At 61.3% G+C, this 19,030-nt stretch overlaps 1 protein-coding gene across 10 annotated transcripts in view, besides 5 other annotated features; it reads left to right on the top strand.

The window, feature by feature from the left end:
- The window catches only part of PIP5K1C (phosphatidylinositol-4-phosphate 5-kinase type 1 gamma), a 70,286-nt gene that overhangs the window by 28,590 nt on the left and 22,666 nt on the right, over positions 1-19,030 (top strand). For 9 of the 10 annotated variants that reach the window (XM_047438535.1, XM_017026540.3, NM_001195733.2 and 6 more), the window contains exons 2-7: positions 4,526-4,557; positions 6,965-7,057; positions 9,878-10,008; positions 10,796-10,913; positions 15,322-15,474; positions 18,290-18,589. In XM_047438535.1, the coding sequence (XP_047294491.1) occupies positions 4,526-4,557; positions 6,965-7,057; positions 9,878-10,008; positions 10,796-10,913; positions 15,322-15,474; positions 18,290-18,589 (827 nt within the window). Of the gene's footprint in view, positions 1-4,306; positions 4,450-4,525; positions 4,558-6,964; positions 7,058-9,877; positions 10,009-10,795; positions 10,914-15,321; positions 15,475-18,289; positions 18,590-19,030 lie in introns of those variants that run through there. The other variant, XM_047438536.1, reaches the window with a different exon arrangement.
- Positions 5,743-5,852: a silencer, noted in NCBI's record as "silent region_9858". NCBI's record gives its function as "represses an Ori minimal core promoter by ATAC-STARR-seq in GM12878 lymphoblastoid cells {active_cell/tissue: GM12878}" and the evidence as "EXISTENCE:reporter gene assay evidence [ECO:0000049][PMID:35858748]".
- Positions 5,743-6,612: a biological region, named in NCBI's record as "H3K4me1 hESC enhancer GRCh37_chr19:3665265-3666095".
- Positions 5,782-6,612: an enhancer, noted in NCBI's record as "H3K4me1 hESC enhancer chr19:3665265-3666095 (GRCh37/hg19 assembly coordinates)". NCBI's record gives its function as "activates a minimal SCP1, AML or CMV promoter by ChIP-STARR-seq in primed H9 embryonic stem cells {active_cell/tissue: H9 hESC(primed)}" and the evidence as "EXISTENCE:reporter gene assay evidence [ECO:0000049][PMID:30033119]".
- Positions 15,593-15,642: a silencer, noted in NCBI's record as "silent region_9857". NCBI's record gives its function as "represses an Ori minimal core promoter by ATAC-STARR-seq in GM12878 lymphoblastoid cells {active_cell/tissue: GM12878}" and the evidence as "EXISTENCE:reporter gene assay evidence [ECO:0000049][PMID:35858748]".
- Positions 15,663-15,772: a silencer, noted in NCBI's record as "silent region_9856". NCBI's record gives its function as "represses an Ori minimal core promoter by ATAC-STARR-seq in GM12878 lymphoblastoid cells {active_cell/tissue: GM12878}" and the evidence as "EXISTENCE:reporter gene assay evidence [ECO:0000049][PMID:35858748]".

The raw sequence follows: 19,030 nt of genomic DNA, 5'->3' as shown, positions 1-19,030 counted from the left end.
TCACGTCTCAGGCTGAGCAGAGCTCACCGTCATGACAGCCCCCTATGGGGGTCACGGCAGGCTCTGTGCCCTGAGCGGGCCTCATGGGGAGCGAGGATTGAGTGAAGATGGCGCTCACCTGCCCCCACCCCCTGGGCAGGCGGTGGCAGCAAGGCTGTGCTTTCTCCCCGTCCCCTCTCCTCCACAGGACACTCGGCTCTGGTCTCCCCTTGCTGCCCGTTCCTGCCTGCCCTGGGAGCCCCACATTTTCCCTGGGGTCCCCCAACCGAGTGCCTCCCCTCTCCGTCCTGCTCCACCTCCACCTCAGTGCTTCGGCCCCGGCCAGTCCCTTAACCCTACAGGCCCCCAGTGCAGGGACGTTCCCAGCAGGGCCCGAGCCGCCTGCCCCTCTCCTCTCCTCTCCCCGTTAGCCAGCTCAGGTGAGTCGGGCAGGTGAAGACGTGGAACCACAGAGGGAAACTGAGGCAGGGGGCCTACACCCAACACGGGTGACCCCGAGGTGCCTGGTGAGGTCAGCAGAGCTGGGTCTGGAGGGCCTCACTGCATCCACTGGGTCCCGGGGCCGTAGGGAGCCTGGGAGAGTCCGGGCAGGGGTGGACCCAAGCGCTGTGACCTCTCAGCATCGGGGCCACTGAGGAAAACAGCTGAGTCACCCAAGTGGGTGTGGGGGGGCCCCAGAGGGGTGGTTTCGCGAGTAGAGTCAGGACTGTGGGCAGGGAGGCCCCAGACAGGCCGAGCAGGGGGACGCCCGGGCCCCCGATGAGGTCTGGAACGTCCCGCCCCGGCCCACCGCTGGCTTCCTGCCCTCTCTTCTTTTCCTTCCCCCACACCCTGGACGTAAAACCGTGAATTGTTCTGCTCCCGGGCCGCCAACCCAAACATCACGTCAGCGTCCAGCACCTTCCGCCCCGCCGCGGCCCAGAGCAGGCCCTTTGTGGCCTGTCAGAGACCTGGGGGCGACTGGCCCTGTCCTCTGGAAGGACAGAGAAGCAGCCCGTCTTTCCCTTCACCGTGGCAGCCGGAATCCTGAGTCACCCCACTCCCTCCGTCCCCGTCCCCGCCCCTGCAGTGAGCACCATGGGTCTGTCCCCCAGATCCCTCCAGGGCCCACCCGCTGCCCACCCAGCCCTGCAGGGCATCCAGGTGGCCCGAGGGGAGGACCCTTCAGCTGTTCTTGCTGCCTTGAGAAGTACGCCCCCTCCCACCCAGGGCTGGGGTCCTCACTGGAGGGCTCCGTGTGAGGTCCTGGGCTGCCCAGACAAAGTCCCCGGGACTGGGGGGCTTGGAGCAGCAGGCCTTGAACAGGCGTTTGTTCTGGCTCAGCTCTGGAGGCCAGGAGCCTGAGGTCCAGGAGTGGGCAGGGCTCTGCCCTCCCGACCGACCTCGGAGAAGCTCCACACCCCTCTGCTCCTGGTGCCTCCGGGCATCCTTGGCGTTTCAGGGCCTGGAGGAGTGGTGCCCTCCCCGCCTCCACCCCACACGGCATCTTGGCCTCCCTGAGCGGCTTCTCTTATAAGGACAGCGGTGGATCCAGGGCCCACCCCACTCCGGCATGACCTCATCTTACCCAATGACATCAGCAAAGACTCTCTTTCCAAATACGGTTGCAGGCTGAGGTTCTTGGAAGGACGTGAATGTCGGAGGGACACCGTCCAACCCCGCACCCTCAGGCAGGCGTGGGGACTGACCACGACTGCAGGGGCCCACCAGCGTCTCGAATGCGGCCCCCTCCCCACCTGCCGCCTGCAGAGGCTCCTGACCCCAGCCCCCTCCCCACCTGCCGCCTGCCCCAGGTTCCTGACCGCAGTCCCCTCCCCACCTGCCGCCTGCAGAGGCTTCTGGCCCCAGCCCCCTCCATACCTGCTGCCTGCCCCGAGGCTCCTGACCCCAGGCCCCTCCCCGGCCTGCCCCTGCCCCGAGGCTCCTGACCCCAGCAAAGTTTTCCACCTCGTGCCTTCGTCTTGTCTCCGGCAGTTCTGACCCGGCAGCAGAGCAAAGCTATGGGCTGCTCCACCAAGTCGCATTCAGTTGCCTTCAGTGCCCGCGGTGGACGTGTTTTCAGACGGCAGGGCGGTCACCGGGGTGCAGCCTCTGGATGGGACACACGTGGGTCTCCCGTGCACCCACCGAGAGCAGCACAGTGCCCATGGGGGCCGAGGGGCGCTGGCAGGGCTGATAGGGTGGGGCATCGCCGACCCAGGCCCAGGTTTGACTTTCCTTCTCCTTCTGTGTGACCTCGGGTGGGTTCACCCCTCCCTCTGAGCATCTCTTTCCGCGTCATAAAACAGAAGGGCTCCCGCCTTCTCTGCACTCTTTGCTGGCTTTGTAAGGCCTTGGTCCAGAAAGACTTTTTGTCTCTCGGGGAAATTCTCCTCTGTCCCCTCTCCCGAGTCCACACCCAGCCGGGTCCCCACCCCTGACGGCCCCCGTCTGCACCGCGGACTCCGCACCCACCTCCTCACCTGTCTGCACCTCCCTGAACCTCGCCCAGTTGGCCCCTCACATGTCCTGGCCTCCCCTGCTCACCTCAGCCGGCCTGGAAGCCAGGGCCAGACCAGTTCCAACGCACTGCTGCCCAGCCCAGAGCAGGGAGGCAGCCAGAGGGCCGAGCCCTACGGAGCAGGGCACCTGCCGCACCCTCCTGCACACACTCCGGCGCAGCCTGAGTGTCTCCACGGGCTCATAATAATCCCCTTTGAGGGCCTGCCCCAGCACCCCCAGCTGCCAGACCTCAGCCAGCCCTCCCTTCCCCAACCCTCAGCCTCTTCCTCTAGGAAGGGGGAATGGAGTGAGAAGATGCTGGCAGAGCTGGGGTGGAGTCAGCCCTGACCCACAGCCCCTGTGATTGAAAAGAAGCATTTGTCTCCATGCCCCTGGGCCCTGGGTGGTGCCAGCATCGGAATCCAACAGGGAGGCACTCCCCTTCGGTACCCGCCTCTGCATGAGCCTGGAGGACGCTGCTGTTATCCGTGCAGCGTGGCTGCCTCAGCCACCTTGTGACCTTTGTGCTGCCGTTCCCTCCGCCTGGAACTCCCTCCGGCTCCCACGGCATCCTTGTTCGGCACTGAGCTCAGACAGGACCAGCCCAGGGAAGCCCCCCCTTGCTGATCCGCACCCCGCCTGTCACCCCACATCAAACACCCAGCCCTGCGCCCACCCCTGTTGACCGTGAGCCCCTTGAGGGCGAGACCAGGTCTTCCCCAGGCCTGCATGGTGGACGCCAGCACGTGCGATCCCTGCAGTCGCTGACATCGCTTCCCACCTCAGGGCTCCGAGGCCAGGAGTCCAGCCCCAGAACGGGGCCTCACCAGGCTAAAGTCAAGCTGTGGGCAGGGCTGGGCCCAGCACAAGCTGCAGAGGAGAATCCGTTTCCCCCTTTTCCCAGCATCTAGAGGCGCCCGCATCTGTCGGCTCAGGTCCCTTCCTCCCTCTTCACAGCCACAGCGCAGCCTCTTCCAGTCTCTGTCTGACTCACCCTCTCGCCCCCGCTCGTGAGGACCCTGTGAGGACATCGGGCTCCCAGGTCCCCCAGGATCATCTCCCGTCGGTCTCAGGGCCTGTAATCACAGCTGTAGAGTCTGTTCCCGTTCTCCAGATGAGGACCCCAGGGCCCTGCTGCTGGGAGCCAGGGCTGGGGATGTGGTCCTGGGTCCTAGGAGCTGAGTCTCGCCTGCTCCCCTCGTCCCAGCCTCCTTGCATGGAGGAAGGTGCTCCCGGCTCAGCCCAGGCCTGGGCTCGTTGGCTCAATCCTGCAGGCCTCTGTTGTCCTCTCTGGAGCTGCGGCCCAGGCCCTGCTGCGCTGACCGGAGGCTGCGGGCCCAGGAGCCAGGGCAGGGCTGGGGGTCCCCTCGCAGCCTCTCTTACCCTTCCACAAACCTCACTCTGGAGAGGGGCAGGGAGGGCGGCAGCCCTGGGGACCCCTGGCCAGTTCCCACTGACCGCAGCTGCCCAGGTGCTGGGCGCTCCCTGCAACTCCAGCCTGCCCTCGCCCCAGCGGGGGCCTGCCCCCCCTCACTCCCCACGCTGGCACCTGATTTCCCCATGCCCGAGCCTCTCCTGGCGCCTGCCTCCGAGGAAGCGGGGCTTGGTCAGTTCAGACCTGCTCAGTTGTTGACTGCCCAGAACCTCATGTCTGGGTGTGAAGGGGGTCAGAGCCGGGGGAGGTTTGCTCCCTATTTCCCCTCCCCTCCTCCAGGCAGGTCCAAGCCCCAGGCCCTCCGTGGTGGGTGCCAAGCCTAGGCGTCACCAGCTGCCCATCTCCCTGAGGCTGCAAAGCCTCTCCCCTGCTCTAGGCCCCAGTGGCTGCCAACCAGGGTGACCATGGCAGGCCCCAGTGGCCCCCACCCTCATCACATCCTCCCAGCGCACTCAGTCCATGTCTTCACTTGTGTGTAGCCTTGAGACCAGCCCCACGCGGAGTTACACACGCCAGGCCTGGGGCGCCAGAAGGTGGGCCGGGGGCTGGGCCCAGGACTCCCAGAGGTCACCGGTTTCCTGTCTGATACCCAGCTTGTCTCTTCTGCAGGTTTGGCTCAGAAGAAGGCGGCCCCAACAGAGGTGAGTGTCTGGAGCGGACGAAGGGCCTGGGGTCCCCACCCTGACCTGCTGCCTCCCTACTCGCGGAGAAGCTGTGTGGCCTGGGGCAGCTCACTACACCTCTCTGGGCCCCAAATGCCGTCCAGTGTCCACAAGCAGGATGAACGTGAGGTCTACACCAACTGCGTCTTGAGAGGTCGGGGTGAAATTCCGTGATGGAGGAGGGGGCCCTGCATCTGAGGGGCCACACCCTCAGTGGCAGGGGTGCCTGGTCAGGGCTGCAGGGGCAGGAAGGGCTTCTCTGGGTTCCAGGCCACGTGGAGCCTGGATTCTGGGGGGTGGGCGGTGGGGAGAGAGCAGCTCTCGCCGGGGGACTGGGGGCAGGAATGGAAGACCTGGCTGGAGGGTTAGACGCTGCCCAGAGGGCGATGCCCGAGGCTACCAGCTGCACCCACGCCCTCAGTGTCTGTGAGCCACACAGGCGTAGTGCACAGTGAGGCTGTGTGCAGCCTATGTGTGCATGTTTGCCTGCGTGCGTGTGTGCACGTTTGTGTGTGTGCATGTTTGCCTGCGTGCGTGTGTGCACGTTTGTGTGTGTGCATGTTTGCCTGCGTGCGTGTGTGCATCTATTTTTGCTTGTGTGGATGTTTGCCTGTGTGTGTGCACGTTTGTGTGTGTGCATGTTTGCGTGCATGTGTGCACGTGTTTGCCTGTGTTCATTTGCCTACGTGCGTGTGTGCACGTGTTTGCCTGTGTTCATGTTTGCCTGAGTGCATGTGTGTTTGCCTGTGTGCCTGTTTGCCTGCGTGCGTATGTACACGTTTGCCTGTGTGCACGTCTGCACGTGTGTTTGCCTGTGTGCATATTTGTCTGTGTGTGTGCACATCTGCATGTACATGGGTCCTGTCATTGCTGCCCGTCTCCTCCCGAGAGCTTTCTCTGCACGTTGGCCCTGCCTTTGCAGCTTCTGCCAGCCCCGTGGCGCCGAGTGGCCTTCTTCCCAGCCCCAGTGGGCGCAGTGGGGTGGGCCGTCCTCTGAGGGCACCCGAGCTGCTGCATCTCCCGTCTTCCCGCATGCAGTCCTCAGGGCACCTGTCCATGAGCCCCATTCACAGGAGCAGTCCCCAAGGCACCTGTCCCACCTGGGCCACCCTTGGCCCTGCGTCCGTAGCCAGAGCTTGGAGGGCTTTGTCCACCAGGCCTGGGACCCTGGGATCCTTCCTCAGAGTCCCCCGGCGTGGGGGCAGTGTGGAGGGTGGCGCGGGTGGAGGGTGGCCCGGGTGGCGGGGTGAATTCCTGGGGAGAGCCTGCCCCCTGGCGGCCACCTGGGAGAATGCAGGGAACATGGCTGAGCAGCGTCGGCTGTGGAGGGAGGGCAGGGGCAGGGGTCAGGGCTGCAGGCGTGTCCCTGGGGCTGATAGCGGTGGGATGGGGTCTGGCCAGTGGAGGGTCCATGGGGTCTCCTAGCAAACGCAGTGGCGCTCCTTAAATGACGGTGCCAGGCGGGGCTGTTCTCCTTGGTTGGCCTCTGTGTCCCTTCAGGCTCCCAAGGCCCCTCCTCACATCCTCCCTCGAGGGCAACAAGCTGAGGCCCCCTGGGGTCGGCGGTCCCATCTGCTGGGACACCCGCGCTGCCCGACAGCTTGCAGGAGCCGGGCCTGACCCTGGCCAGTGAGACCATCTCCCTCAGGGACAAGGTGGTCTTTTCAATCCTTCCATCCCAGCGGTCTCACAGTTAGGGGCCCTGGTGAGGGAGAGGAGTTACGACTCCCACCACCACCTCAGGCGGTGGGTGAGATGCTCTGAGGCTGGCCTGGCTCACACCGTGTTGGCAGGAAGCCTGACCCCCGCTCTGTTCCCACCCCCACCTCAGTCCTGTTTTTTTAAAAAATACCCACTTTACTGAGATGTGATTTGCATACTGTACTCTCTGAAGTGTGCAGTGAGTGACTTTTAGTACATTTGCAGAGTTGTGTGGGGACATCTGTGGTTGCCACAACTGGGAGGTGCTCCTGGCATGGAGTGGGTGGAGGCCAGGAATGCTGCTCAGCACCCTGCTGTGCCCAGGGTGGCCCCACCCCAAAGAACGGTCCAGCCCCAGTGTCCACAGCACCTGGGGGAGACCCTGGAATTAGAGGGCTGGAGCTGCCCAATCCTCTTGCCCTTCCTGAGGAGGCAGAGGTCTCCACCTTGGAGTGAGCGCTTCTGGGTGTCCAGTGTGGGACACTGAGGGGCCCCAGCCAGCCCGCCAGGCGCCCACGGGTGAGGGGCCTCCTGCTGCACCCCGGAGTCGCCTGGACCTGCCCCCTGCCCTGTGCACCCCTGCTGGGCCCAACGACTAAACCTTTCTTCCCAGGGTTTCAGAGCGTGCCCTGTCCCGGTGGGCGTGCTCCTTAGGGAGTTAACGCTTCCTGCTTCCTCTTCCCAGGTTCTGTCCATGACGGCACAGCCGGGCCCTGGCCATGGGAAGAAGTTGGGCCATCGAGGTGTGGACGCATCCGGCGAAACCACCTACAAGAAGGTTCCTCGGCTCCCCTTAGCTGGCTGGAGGGAGCGGGACAGAGCAGAGGGGAGGGGGATCCCACTGGTAGCATGGATGGGGCCTATCGCCCCCGACACAAACCAGGGTCTGCCCAGGGACAGGTGTGGGCTGTGTGGAGGCAGAGGCTGGAGTCCTCAGTCCTGCATGAGGCCCCACTGTTTGCTGTCCTTGCCGGGCGGCCGGGCAGCATGTTCTGTGGCTCAGCCTGGCTGCAACGCCTGCCCGGCTCTGAGTCCCTGAAACCTCGGGCAGAGCCTGGGCTCTCGGCCCTGGTGAGGGAGAGGGGTTATGGACCCCACCACCACCTCGGGCAGTGGATGGGACACTCTGAGGCTGGCCTGGCTCACACCGTGTTGGTAGGAAGCCTGACCCCCACTCTGTTCCCACCCCCACCTAGGGCCTGTTTTTTCAAAAGTAACCGTTTTACTGAGATGTGATTCATATACTGTACAATTCAGCCTTTAAAGTGTGCAGTAAATGACTTTTAGTACATATGCAGAGTTGTGCAGCCGTCACCTCTAATTCCAGAACATTGCATCAGCTCAAATAGCAACTCTGTCCCTGTTAGCAGTCACCCCCATCCCGACTCCCAGCCCTGGCACCCACATCCCTTTCCTGCGTCTGTGGATCAGCCTGTCCTGGACGTGTCATAGAAGTGGAATCACACACTGTGTGGCTTTCTGTGTCTGGCGTCTCTCACTGAGTGTAGCGTCCTCAGGGTTCATTCGCACTGGGGCCCGTGTCAGAGCCTTGCTCCTGTTCATGGCTGAGTCGTGTTCTGGTGCGTGGGGCGCCCGTGCTGCACTTGTCCTTTGCTGCGTCATGGACGCTCGGGTGCTTCACACTCCTGGCCATTGTGAATTGTGCTGCTGAGGACACGTGTGTGTGAGTCTGTGTGGATACATGTGTTCGTTTGTCTCGGGCAGACACCCAGGAGTGGAATTGCCAAGTCACGTGTAACTCGGTGTCATCTTTTGAGAAACTCGCAAACTGTTCTCCATAGCAGCGGTACCGTTTTCACACCCAGCAACAGTGAATGAGGCCCAGCGTCCCCGTGTCCTCACCAGCACTCGTGATTGTTGTCTCTGATTCTGGCGTCCTCATGGGTGTGAGGTGGTGTCTCTTCGAGGTGTCTTTTTGTTTGTTTTGGTAGAGACAGGGGTTTCACCATGTTGCCCAGGCTGGTCTTGAACTCCCAGGCTCAGGGGATCCTCCCACCCCGGCCTCCCGACTGGCCGGGATTCCAGGTGCGTGGCCCCCCTGTGGTTTGATGTGCTTTCCCTTGGTGCCCAGTGGCATGGAGCGTCTTTGCGGGCTTCAGGGCCGTTTGTATGTTATCTTTGGGCACATGTCTGTTCTGTCCGTGGCATCTCGGGGAGGTGAACATACAGGCCAGACCCCCCACCACCCAGAGTGTGGCTTAGGAGGGAGACAGGCCGAAACTGGGCAGTGGCAGAAACCAACTCCCAACTCCCGACCTCCCTCCCTGCCACCTCGCACCTGCGACAGGAGCACTGGAGACCGGAATTAGAGAGCGGAGGTATGAGCCGGCTTCCCAGGGCTAAAGTGAACATGGCGCGAGAGCACACAGTGAGAATAATGCAAACGATGCCAATGGCAAAAATAACAGCAGCCGGCCGGGCGCGGAGGCTCACTCCTGGAATCCTAGCACTTTGGGAGGCCGAGGCGGGAGGATCACCAGAGGTCAGGAGTTGGAGACCAGCCTGGGCAACATGGCGCAACCTTGTCTGTACTAAAAATACAAAAAAATAATTAGCCGGGTGTGCTGGTGCGTGCCTGTAATCCCAGCTCTTGGGAGGCTGAGGCGGGAGAATAGCTTGAACCCAGGAGGCGGAGGTTGCAGTGATCCAAGATCGCACCACTGCATTCCAGCCTGGGCAGTAGAGCAAGACTCTGTCTCAAAAAATAATAACGGGGCCGGCGTGCTGGCTCACACGTGCAATCGCAGCATTTTGGGAGGCCCAGGCAGGTGGATTAGCTGAGGTCAGGAGTTCGAGACCAGCCTGGCCAACATGGTGAAACCCCGTCTCTACTAAAAATACAAAAATTAGCCAGGCGTGACGGCGCGCACCTATAATCCCAGCTACTCAGGAAGCTGAGGCAGGAGAATCACTTGAACCTGGGAGGTGGAGGTTGCAGTGAGCTGAGATTGCGCCACTGCACTCCAGCCTGGGCGACAGAGCAAGACTCTGTCTCAAAAAATAAACAAATAAAAATAATAACAGCAGCTGACACCACGTCCGCAAGAGGGCCAGAACCATTGTGCCCATCCCTGTCTACAGGCAGGGAAACTGAGGCACATAGCGGCCATGTGGGTTGCCCAGTGTGACCACGTGCGTTACATAGAAAGCAGCTAACGGGAACCTGCGTCTGCAGATGTGAAAGTGATCTGGGCATCTCGCTGTAAATGGTACCCCCTAAAAACAAACTCTTGACAGTGAATCGACCCTTTTGCTAAGTTGGAGCTGTTTCAAAATGGGAGAACCTTTAGAACCTAGCTAGCCAACAGGACTGGGAGGGCTGAGTGACGTGGTGCGGCAGTTGCAGCCGAGCCCTGTCCTGGCTGTGTGGCCCGAGGGAGGGTGGCTTCATCCCCCGGCCTGATGTCGACAGCTCAGCAGCCGCAGGACAGGCAGCCCCGGGGACCACCAGGAGGGGGTTGGCAGGTGCCGGGTCCCAAGCTGCAGCTGGTCACGATCTCCACCCCCCGGTGCACACAGGGGGTGCAGGGCAGCGTGGGGAGCAGCCGGGGGCCCTGACACTCTGGTCTCCCTGCAGACCACCTCCTCCACCCTGAAGGGTGCCATCCAGCTGGGCATCGGCTACACCGTGGGCCACCTGAGCTCCAAGCCCGAACGCGACGTGCTCATGCAGGACTTCTACGTGGTGGAGAGCATCTTCTTCCCCAGGTGGGCCGGGCCCCCGGAGCCTCAGGGCTCACCCAGCACACACGTGGCTCTGAGGCGGAGTGGCCTGTCCTGAGCGCCCTTCTCTGCTGAAAGCAGCACCTGGCCCCTCCTGGCGCCTCCTTGGCCTTGAGCTCTGGCCCTCTGTCCGTCAGGACGTTTGTTTGCTGCTGAATCAGAGACCCAATGTAAAGGCAGTTTAAGAACAGGAAAAAGAAAAGATAGAAGTTAGCTCTTTTCTAATCTACAAATAACCAGTGGGCAGTGCAGGGCTGGTCAGGAGGTTCCATGGTGTTGGGGTCCTGGGATCCTTCTGGTCACCCCACACCGCCATCCTCAATATACAGCTCTGTGACCAGTGGTCCCAGGTGGCTGCCAAAGCTCCTGCCATCACGGCTGCATTCCAGCCACAGGAGGCAACAGAAGGAGAACAACAGCCCTTCCCTTTCGGACATGACCAGTGTTTCTGCTCCACTCGTGTCATTGGCTGAGTGCAGTCACGTGAGCACACCTAGCTGCAAGAGGCTGGGGCGGCATGGTCCTGTTCTTGGCGGCCATGTGCCTGGCCAACACTGTGGGCCCCGTTGTTAATGAAAGAAGAGAGGGTGGTTACTGGGGGACAGTCCCATCGGGAGCCCCCTGTTGCTTGTGGGATTGGGCCGTTTCAAGGAAGTCTTGGAGCTGAGCCGCTAGAGGCTCAGCTGCTAGAGGCACTAGGAGGGACCATGGCGGGGGTGGGGGAGAGGTGCCCACCACCCCTCACAGGTTTCCTCCCGTCCTTCCTCCACAGCGAAGGCAGCAACCTCACCCCCGCCCACCACTTCCAGGACTTCCGCTTCAAGACCTATGCACCTGTCGCCTTCCGCTACTTCCGGGAGCTCTTTGGGATCCGGCCAGATGATTACTTGGTAAGCATATTTGCTGTTACGGGCTTCCAGGCTTGAAACAGAACATGTTCAGGGTCTCGGAGGGTCTGTGGGTCAGGCATTTGGGGGCAGCCTCCCTGGGTTCCTCGTGTAGGGTTATGGTCAGGTTCAGGGCCGGAGTCTCCTGTGAGACTCACCGGGAAAGCAGGAGAGATCGGCCTCCAAGCTCACATCACTGGCAGCTGCAGGACTCCGTCCTGGCTGGCGTTGGCTGGGAGCCTCCATTCCTCACCATGTGGGCCTTGTCATCAGAGCAGGCGAGGGTGTCCACTCACCAAACAGTTGGTATAGTCTTCTGCAGCCTGGTGCCAAAGTGACTGACCCATTTTCAGACTTAAGGGTTAGAACAAGGCACTGGGACGTGGGTGCCACTGGGGACCAGCGTAGAGTCGGACCTCCTAGCTCTAGCCATGGCTTTATTGTTTCAGGTTAGCAAAGTCAAAATCTAGGCCAACCCCTTTGACCTAGCAGCCCATTATCCGGGCTCCTAAAAGAGGTGTTTGGAGGGTGGTGCTCCCCACAGTGGCCCTGGAGCTCATCAGCGCCAGCACCCCCTTTTTTTTTTTTCGAGACAGAGTCTCGCTCTGTCGCCCAGGCTGGAGTGCAGTGGTGCGATCTCGGCTCACTGTAAGCTCCGCCTCCTGGGTTCACGCCATTCTCCTGCCTCAGCTTCCCGAGTAGCTGGGACTACAGGTGCCTGCCACCACGCCCGGCTAATTTTTTGTATTTTTAGTAGAGACGGGGTTTCACCGTGTCAGCCAGGATGGTCTCGATCTCCTGACCTCGTGATCTGCCTGTCTCAGCCTCCCGTAGTGCTGGGATTAGAGGCGTGAGCTACCGCCTCAGCCTCCCGAAGTGCTGGGATTCCAGGCGTGAGCCCCGGCATCCAACCTGCGCCATCACCACTTCTAAAAGCTCCGGGTGGCCTTTTCCCAAGCCTGCCTGGTCATCCCGAGAACTTTGTATCAGGGAAGACTGGAACTCTGTAGACAAGTGCGGTTGGCGTTCTGGTTGTCACGACAGCACGGTCCCCGGGGCCGGGAGCCTGTGGTTCTCCGATCCTGCCCTCACCCGCGGTGGTCGGTTCCTTGTGCCTTTCTTTGGTGGTTGCTGACTGTGCGTGCGTTTGGTTTATCTCAGTCTGTAGGAAGCGCCCGAGGCTGCGCTCTTCCAGGGAGAACTAGCATGTGCTCCAGCCAGGGGTACGTGTGACACCCCCCCCTCCCCCGCCCCGAGAACTCCAGCCTGTTCAGGTGCCCGGGAGTCACCATGCTCCGGGTCGTGTCGCCAAGGCCCAGCCTCCGGACTTCAGTGTCCCAGCGTTTGCCTGAGCTTGGCAGGGCAGTGGGGAGTGAAAACACAGCTGGGGTTTTTGCCTAGAAATGGCCCTCGGGTGACCTGGACGCTACCGTGTGAGGCGGCCAGGAACAGAAGGCAGCAGCCTGGCTCGTAGCAGAGAGACAGCACCCGTGTCCATTAGCAGGAGTGGACGGATAAAAGCCGATCTGGGGCCATCTGGGTCTCACCTAGAACCCGATAAGATCGCATTCCAGGGCCTTAGGCCAGGTGTGCACCCACAGCATCTGGGGAGCCAGCCCGGTGTTGGTGACCCCCGAATCCTTCTGCTCATCTCAGGAGTGTGAGAATTCTCTTGGGGGCCTCCGGTGCTGAGCAGGCGGCAGCCCCCTAGCCTCTGTCCAGGCTGTGGTGTGAGTGTGGCCGTGTGCCACAGCGGGAGGACGGGCTAGTGTGCGTGTTGCTGTCCACAGGGCCCCTGAGCTTGAGTGGGGACAGGTAGGGTTCGGAGGGGACTCGAGGTTGCCGGTGCTTCTCTGATTGGACAGCTGAGGTCACAGTCCCCCCTGGTAAGGGGGGTAGCTCCAGGAAGGCCCACAGCTCAGGACAGCCAGGAAGGAGAAGGCGGAGGTGGGATGCAGGGTGGGGCTCAGCCCTGCCCAGTGGTCAGCAGAGGGTGGAGAGGAGGCCAAGGTCAGCGGCGCAGCTGCCGAGAGCCCCAGCACCGACGAAGGAGGCTGTGGGGGGTTGTCCTGGCACTGCCTGGCTCAGAAATCCACGCATGGGGCCTGCTTCCCCGTAGCAGCTGAGGCCCATGGAGGCCATAGCCCTGCAACTGCCATTAGTCATGTGGCTTCAGAATTTCCCTGTCATCGGTGTTCTTTGTACAAAGCCGAACGTGCCCTTTCCACAGTGTTTTCCGCTCTGCAGGTGAGATCGGCCTCCCCCTCCTGCCACCGTGGACAGGCAGCAGTGATTTGTGTCTCGGAGGGACACTCCGGCTGCTTGGGGTGTCCCCTGCTCCGGGTGACCTGAGGACAGCGGCCCAGGGCTTGGCGGGGTCCCCTGGCCTCCCAGGGAGGGCGCCAGCCCCAGGAGAGACCCGCCTTCGCTCTGCGCTGCTGCGCCTGTGTCTGGGAGGCTGGAGGGCGTCCTGCCGTGGCGGGGAAGGCGGAGGAGCCGCGTGGGCTCTGTGTTTCCTGTGGATATTTGTGGCTCGTGGCTGTGGGCAGAAAAAGGCAGGCAGATGGCTGGGCTGGGCGACAGCAGTGGCCTGGACAGATCTCCCTCCAGCCTCAGAGTCCACCCCACACGGCTCTCTCACCCTGCACCATCACTCCCAGCCAGGCCATGGCAGAAGCAGCGCATGCAGGAGGAAGGACCCTCGCTGTTCTGAGCTGCCAAGGTTGGCAGGGCTGTTGCTGACTCCGCAAAATCCAGCCTGTGTTGACCGACGTGTGATAACTGATGGCGCCGTTCCCTGGCCCGAGAGCACCTCGGGCAGTGCAGGGCGGGGGTGGTGACTTGAGCCCAAGGAGGGACTGGGGCATTCCCAGGCCCTGGGCCTGATGTGACCTCATGTTTCCGGCGTCCTCTGGTCCCCAAACATATTCACAGATCAGAGTGTGTGTGGCGCTGGGGACCCAACTCACGCCTCAAGCCCCTGGCTCTTCCAGCATTTTCCAAAGGTGGTTCCCCTCACTTGTTGGGGTGTTTTTTTAAACACTCTTGCTCTGTTGCCCAGGTTGGAGGGCAGTGGCGCTGTCACAGCTCACAGCAGCCTTGACCTCCTGGGCTCAAGTGATCCTCCCACCTCAGCCTCCCAAGTAGCTGGGACCACAGATGGGCATCACCATGCCTGTTTTTGTTTTCTTTCTTTTTTTTTTTTAGTACAGATGAGGCCTCGCTCTGTTGCCCAGGCTGGTCTTGAACTCCTGGGCTCAAATGATCCTCCTCAGCCTCCCAAGGTGTTGGGATTACAGAGTGCTGGGTGAGCCGCCGTGCCTGGCCTCCCCTCGCTTCTGCTCGCCACCACTCCTGACTCTCGTGGACACCCCCCACCTGTTTATCACAGCAGCATTGGAGGCGGCACGCAGCACTCGGAGACCACCCTTCTGTCGTCCAGCAGATACGGACCCAGCGTTGACCCTGGGGGGCCTGGCTTGCTCCGCTGATGGGGAGCTGGCTCTGACCTCATCCGTGTACACCAATGGCGACCAGTTAGGATTTTAAAGGGCGTGACACAGATGGCCTTAGCCCCATGCACACTTCATTGGTTCCATACCCGGAAGACGCAGGGTAGCACCCGTGGGTCTCATCTTCATTCTAGTCCTTAGCAAATCGAGCACCTGTCGAGTCAGTGACACAAAAAAACTTCCACCTGCACGGACCTTCTGCCTAATGTCCAGGAGAGGGCGTGGGGGCAGAGAGACAGCGAGCACATCATGAAACAAACAGCAGGGGCTGAGAAAAAGGGGCAGAGAAGTGGGGAGGAAGGGCTTGGACTGTGGGGTGCCAGGGGCCAGAGTGGGGCCTGCCCATCAGAGATGCAGCTTCCATCCCAGAGCTTACCTTCTAGTCCAGTGTGGCTGCTGAGGTTCCAGCCATCACATCAGCATCTCAGGAGGGAAATAGGTGGGAAGGAGAGAAGGGCAAATACGCAGGTATGCCAGCTGCCTGTCGCCCATCTGTGGAGCCTTCCCTGAGTTCCACCTGACAGCTTCTGCTTATGACTCATGGGGCAGAGCTGGCGTTGTGGCCCCACCCAGCTTCAGGGGTGCTGGGAGCACCTTTTAGCCACGCGCGTCAGCACCCCGGTGCGATCAGGTGTCCGCTCCTAAGGAGAGCAGCAGGCAGCCTGGGGAGTGCGCCCTAGCAGACCAGCCCTCGGGCTGCAGAGTCAGCTCGGCCTCAGGCTCCAGTCCTTGCTGGCTAGCCTCAGGCAAGTCTCTCGCCCTCTCTGAGCCTCTCTTTCCGCATCTGTAAAATGCAGCGACCCGTCATCAGTTCCTGGGGCTGTTGGGCAGACCGGAAGCCAGTGCTGTCTGTGTGTCCGGCAGCTTGGGGCCCGCTGACCCGCCTCCTCTGCTTCCAGTACTCCCTGTGCAATGAGCCGCTGATCGAGCTGTCCAACCCGGGCGCCAGTGGCTCCCTCTTCTACGTCACCAGCGACGACGAGTTCATCATCAAGACCGTCATGCACAAGGAGGCCGAGTTCCTGCAGAAGCTGCTCCCTGGCTACTACATGGTGCGTGGCCCGCCCTGCGGGGCAGATGGCTCCTCGGTCAACCCCCTTCTCCCGGCTGGCGGGAGCAGATGTCTGCAAGGCTTGGGCAAGCAGGCATCCTTGGGGCGTGGTGAGAGGCATCTTGGGTCCCGGGGACTCACCCTCGGGGGTCCCCCGTCAGGCTTCACCAGCACCAGTGTTCAGGAGCCGCCCTCTCTTCCTCCTGTGGCCACACGCCTTGGGGGCCGTCCCCGGGCAGGGCTGGGTGGGCACCGGCCCCTGCCTGGCTCCCCATCCCCACCTTGCCAACACCCCCTATGAGCCGTGGGCCCCAGAACCAGCAGCCTGCGGGCAGCGTCTGTCAGCTGCCACGGAGGCCCAAGGGGCCCAAGGGTGACTCAGAGGGTTCCAGAGAGGAGGGGGATGGGCCACCAGATGGTACCCCACAAAAGACCAGCTGCTCAGGCAGGCGTGAGGCAGCTCCATCCGGCCCACCCCTCATCCCGCATGACTCACAGAAAGGGTGCGTCAGGCCCCGGGAGGGGGGAGTAGGAGTAGGAGCCGGCGGCTGCCACAGTGTTCCTGGGCCTGGGATTCCGGTACTCGCCCAGACGAGGTGGGCGCCTTCCATGTTGCCAGGCCCAAGCTGCTGCCCGGCCCTGGGCAGCACAGCACAGCCTGTGACTCAGTTTCCCTTGAGGCCTCCTCCATCCACTCTCTGTGATGCTTAGCGAGGGGCCCGGGCTCCTTAGATCAGGCTCAGCAAACTCAGTCTTTAAAGGCCCAGAGAGAGTGTTTTTGGCTCTGCGAGCCAGTGTGCTGTGTCTCCAGGACTGAGCTCTGCCTGGATGGCAGCGAGCTGCTGTGACCACATGAGAATGGATGGGCGCGGCCATGTGCCCATACGCATTATTTATGGACCAAGAAATGCGAATTCCATATCACTTTCACGTGTCATCAAAGACTATTTTCTATTTCTCCACTTTTTTATTTATTTATTTATGTTTTGAGACGGAGTCTCGCTCTGTCACCCAGGCTGGAGTGCAGTGGTGCCATCTTGGCTCACTGCAGCCTCCCCCTCCTGGGTTCAAGCCATTCTCCTGCCTCAGCCTCCCGAGTAGCTGGGACTACAGGCGCCCGCCACCACGCCTGGCTATTTTTTTATATTTTTAGTAGAGACATGGTTTCACCGTGTTAGCCAGGATGGTCTCGATTTCCTGATGTCGTGATCTGCCTGTCTCGGCCTCCTGGAGTGTTGGAATTATAGGCGTGAGCCACCGCGCCTGGCCTCTTCATTTTTTTTTTTTTTTTTTTTTTTGAGATGGAGTCTCGCTCTGTCACCCAGGCTGGAGTGCATTGGCGTGATCTTGGCTTACTGCAAGCTCCGCCTCCTGGGTTCAAGCGATTCTGCTGCCTCAGCCTCCTGAGTAGTTGTGATTCCAGGCACCTACCACCACGCCTGGCTAATTTTTGTATTTTTAGTAGAGATGGGGTTTCACCGTGTTGGTCAAGCTGGTCTCCTGACTTCATGATCTGCCTGCCTTGGCCTCCCAAAGTGCTAGGATTATAGATGTGAGCCACTGTGCTTGGCCTTTTTTTTTTTTTTTCTTTTGAGATGGAGTCTGGCTCTGTTGCCCAGGCTGGAATGCAATGGCACAATCTCGGCTCACTGCAACCTCCATCTCCTAGGTTCAAGTGATTCTCCTGCCTCAGCCTCCCAAGCAGCTGGGATTACAGGCATGCGCCACCACTCCCAGCTAATTTTTATTTTTAATAGAGACGGGGTTTCACCATGTTGGCCAGGCTGGTCTCAAACTCCTGACCTCAGGTGATCCGCCCGCCTCGGCCTCCCACAGTGCTAGGATTACAGGCATGAGCCATCGCACTGGGCCCTTTCCACTTTTTAAAAATGGAAAAACCATTCTTAGCTCACAGCCCTACAAAAATAGGTGGTGGCCGGATTCGGCCCAGGGGCTGGAGTTCACCTAGCCTGCCCAGGCTGGTGCCTGAGTCCGCGCCCCTCACTCCTCTCCCTGTGGGTCTGTCTCAGCCCCGACACCTGGGCAGCTTCCCACTGGGTTCGTCATTGAGAGGCTCTGGGCAGGGGGCGCTGTTGCTTCACTTGGGTGCCCCTGAGTCACCCAGTGCCTGCTTGGGGTCTACAGGGTACAGCAGGACCCAGACTCGTCACTGCGCCTGGGGACCCAGATTTGGAGTGAAAGTCTGAGTTGATCAGTTCAACACAGGCAAAGCATAACCAACATAGAGGCTGGGCTCACGCCTGGAGTCCTGGCACTTTCGGAGGCTGAGGTGGGAGGATGGTTTGAGCCCTGGAGGTGGAGGCTGCAGTGAGCTGTGATCGCACCGTTGCACTCCAGCCTGGGCGACAGAGCGAGACCCTGTCTCAAGAAAATACATGTGTGTGTGCGTGTGTGTGTATGTGTTTGTGTGTGCATATACATACATGTATGTATTTTAGGATACAGCATTGCGTTTCCGGCCTCCAGACCTCCCAACAGGCGAGCCCAGCCAGGGCGATGTCTGTGGGCAGGCAGGGAGTGTGGAAGCTTCTGCTGGAACAGAAGCGCCTGCCTTGGGGCCTGGCTCTGTAGAAACAGACCCTCCTGGAGCTCACAGTTGTGGCCCATGAGAGTCAGGGTGCCGTGGGAAGGCCAGCTGGGTGCCTGCATAGGAACGGGGTCCCCGAGGGCTTCTGGGGAGAGAGGGGGGCTGGCCAGGGGCATCCATGAGCCCCCTGAGGCAGAGGCCTGCTTTGCCCGCCCCCGTGAGTCTGTGGCCCAGCCGCCCTCCACGACTTGCCCTCTTCCCCCGGCAGAACCTCAACCAGAACCCGCGGACGCTGCTGCCCAAGTTCTATGGGCTGTACTGCGTGCAGTCGGGGGGCAAGAACATCCGCGTCGTGGTCATGAACAACATCCTGCCCCGCGTGGTCAAGATGCACCTCAAGTTCGACCTCAAGGGCTCCACCTACAAGCGGCGCGCCAGCAAGAAGGAGAAGGAGAAGAGCTTCCCCACCTACAAGGACCTGGACTTCATGCAGGACATGCCCGAGGGGCTCCTGCTGGACGCCGACACCTTCAGCGCCCTGGTCAAGACGCTGCAGCGGGACTGCCTGGTGAGGGCTCGGCCCCGGCCGGGGAGGGAGGGTGGCAGGTGGGACTGCGTGGTGAGGGCTCGGCCTGGGCAGGCAGGGCCAGGGAGGGTGCCAGGCCGAGGCCCACCTGCCCTGCAGCCTACAGCAGGCCCCACCCCAGTGTGGGATCCAGAAGCGCTCAAGCTTTTATGGCCTTAACCTAAAATGTGGCCGGACACAGTGGCTCACGCCTGGGATCCCAGCTCTTTGGGAGGCAGGCAGATGGCTTGAGCCCAGGGTTTCAAGACCAGCAGGGGCAACATTGTGAGACCCCATCTCACAAAGAAAACAAAACACTTATAACATGTCCCCAGACCCAGCCCTTGGGGGTCGGGAGTGTCTGCACTGCTGAGAAGTGGTTCCTCTGGAGGTTACACGATGACAGTGGTAGAGTCCCCCCACCCCCCAGAGAAGAGCCCAGCC

The sequence above is a fragment of the Homo sapiens genome, chromosome 19 (genome assembly GCF_000001405.40).
Source record: "Homo sapiens chromosome 19, GRCh38.p14 Primary Assembly".
NCBI lineage: Eukaryota > Metazoa > Chordata > Mammalia > Primates > Hominidae > Homo > Homo sapiens.
This window is presented reverse-complemented; position numbering and strand designations above follow the sequence as displayed.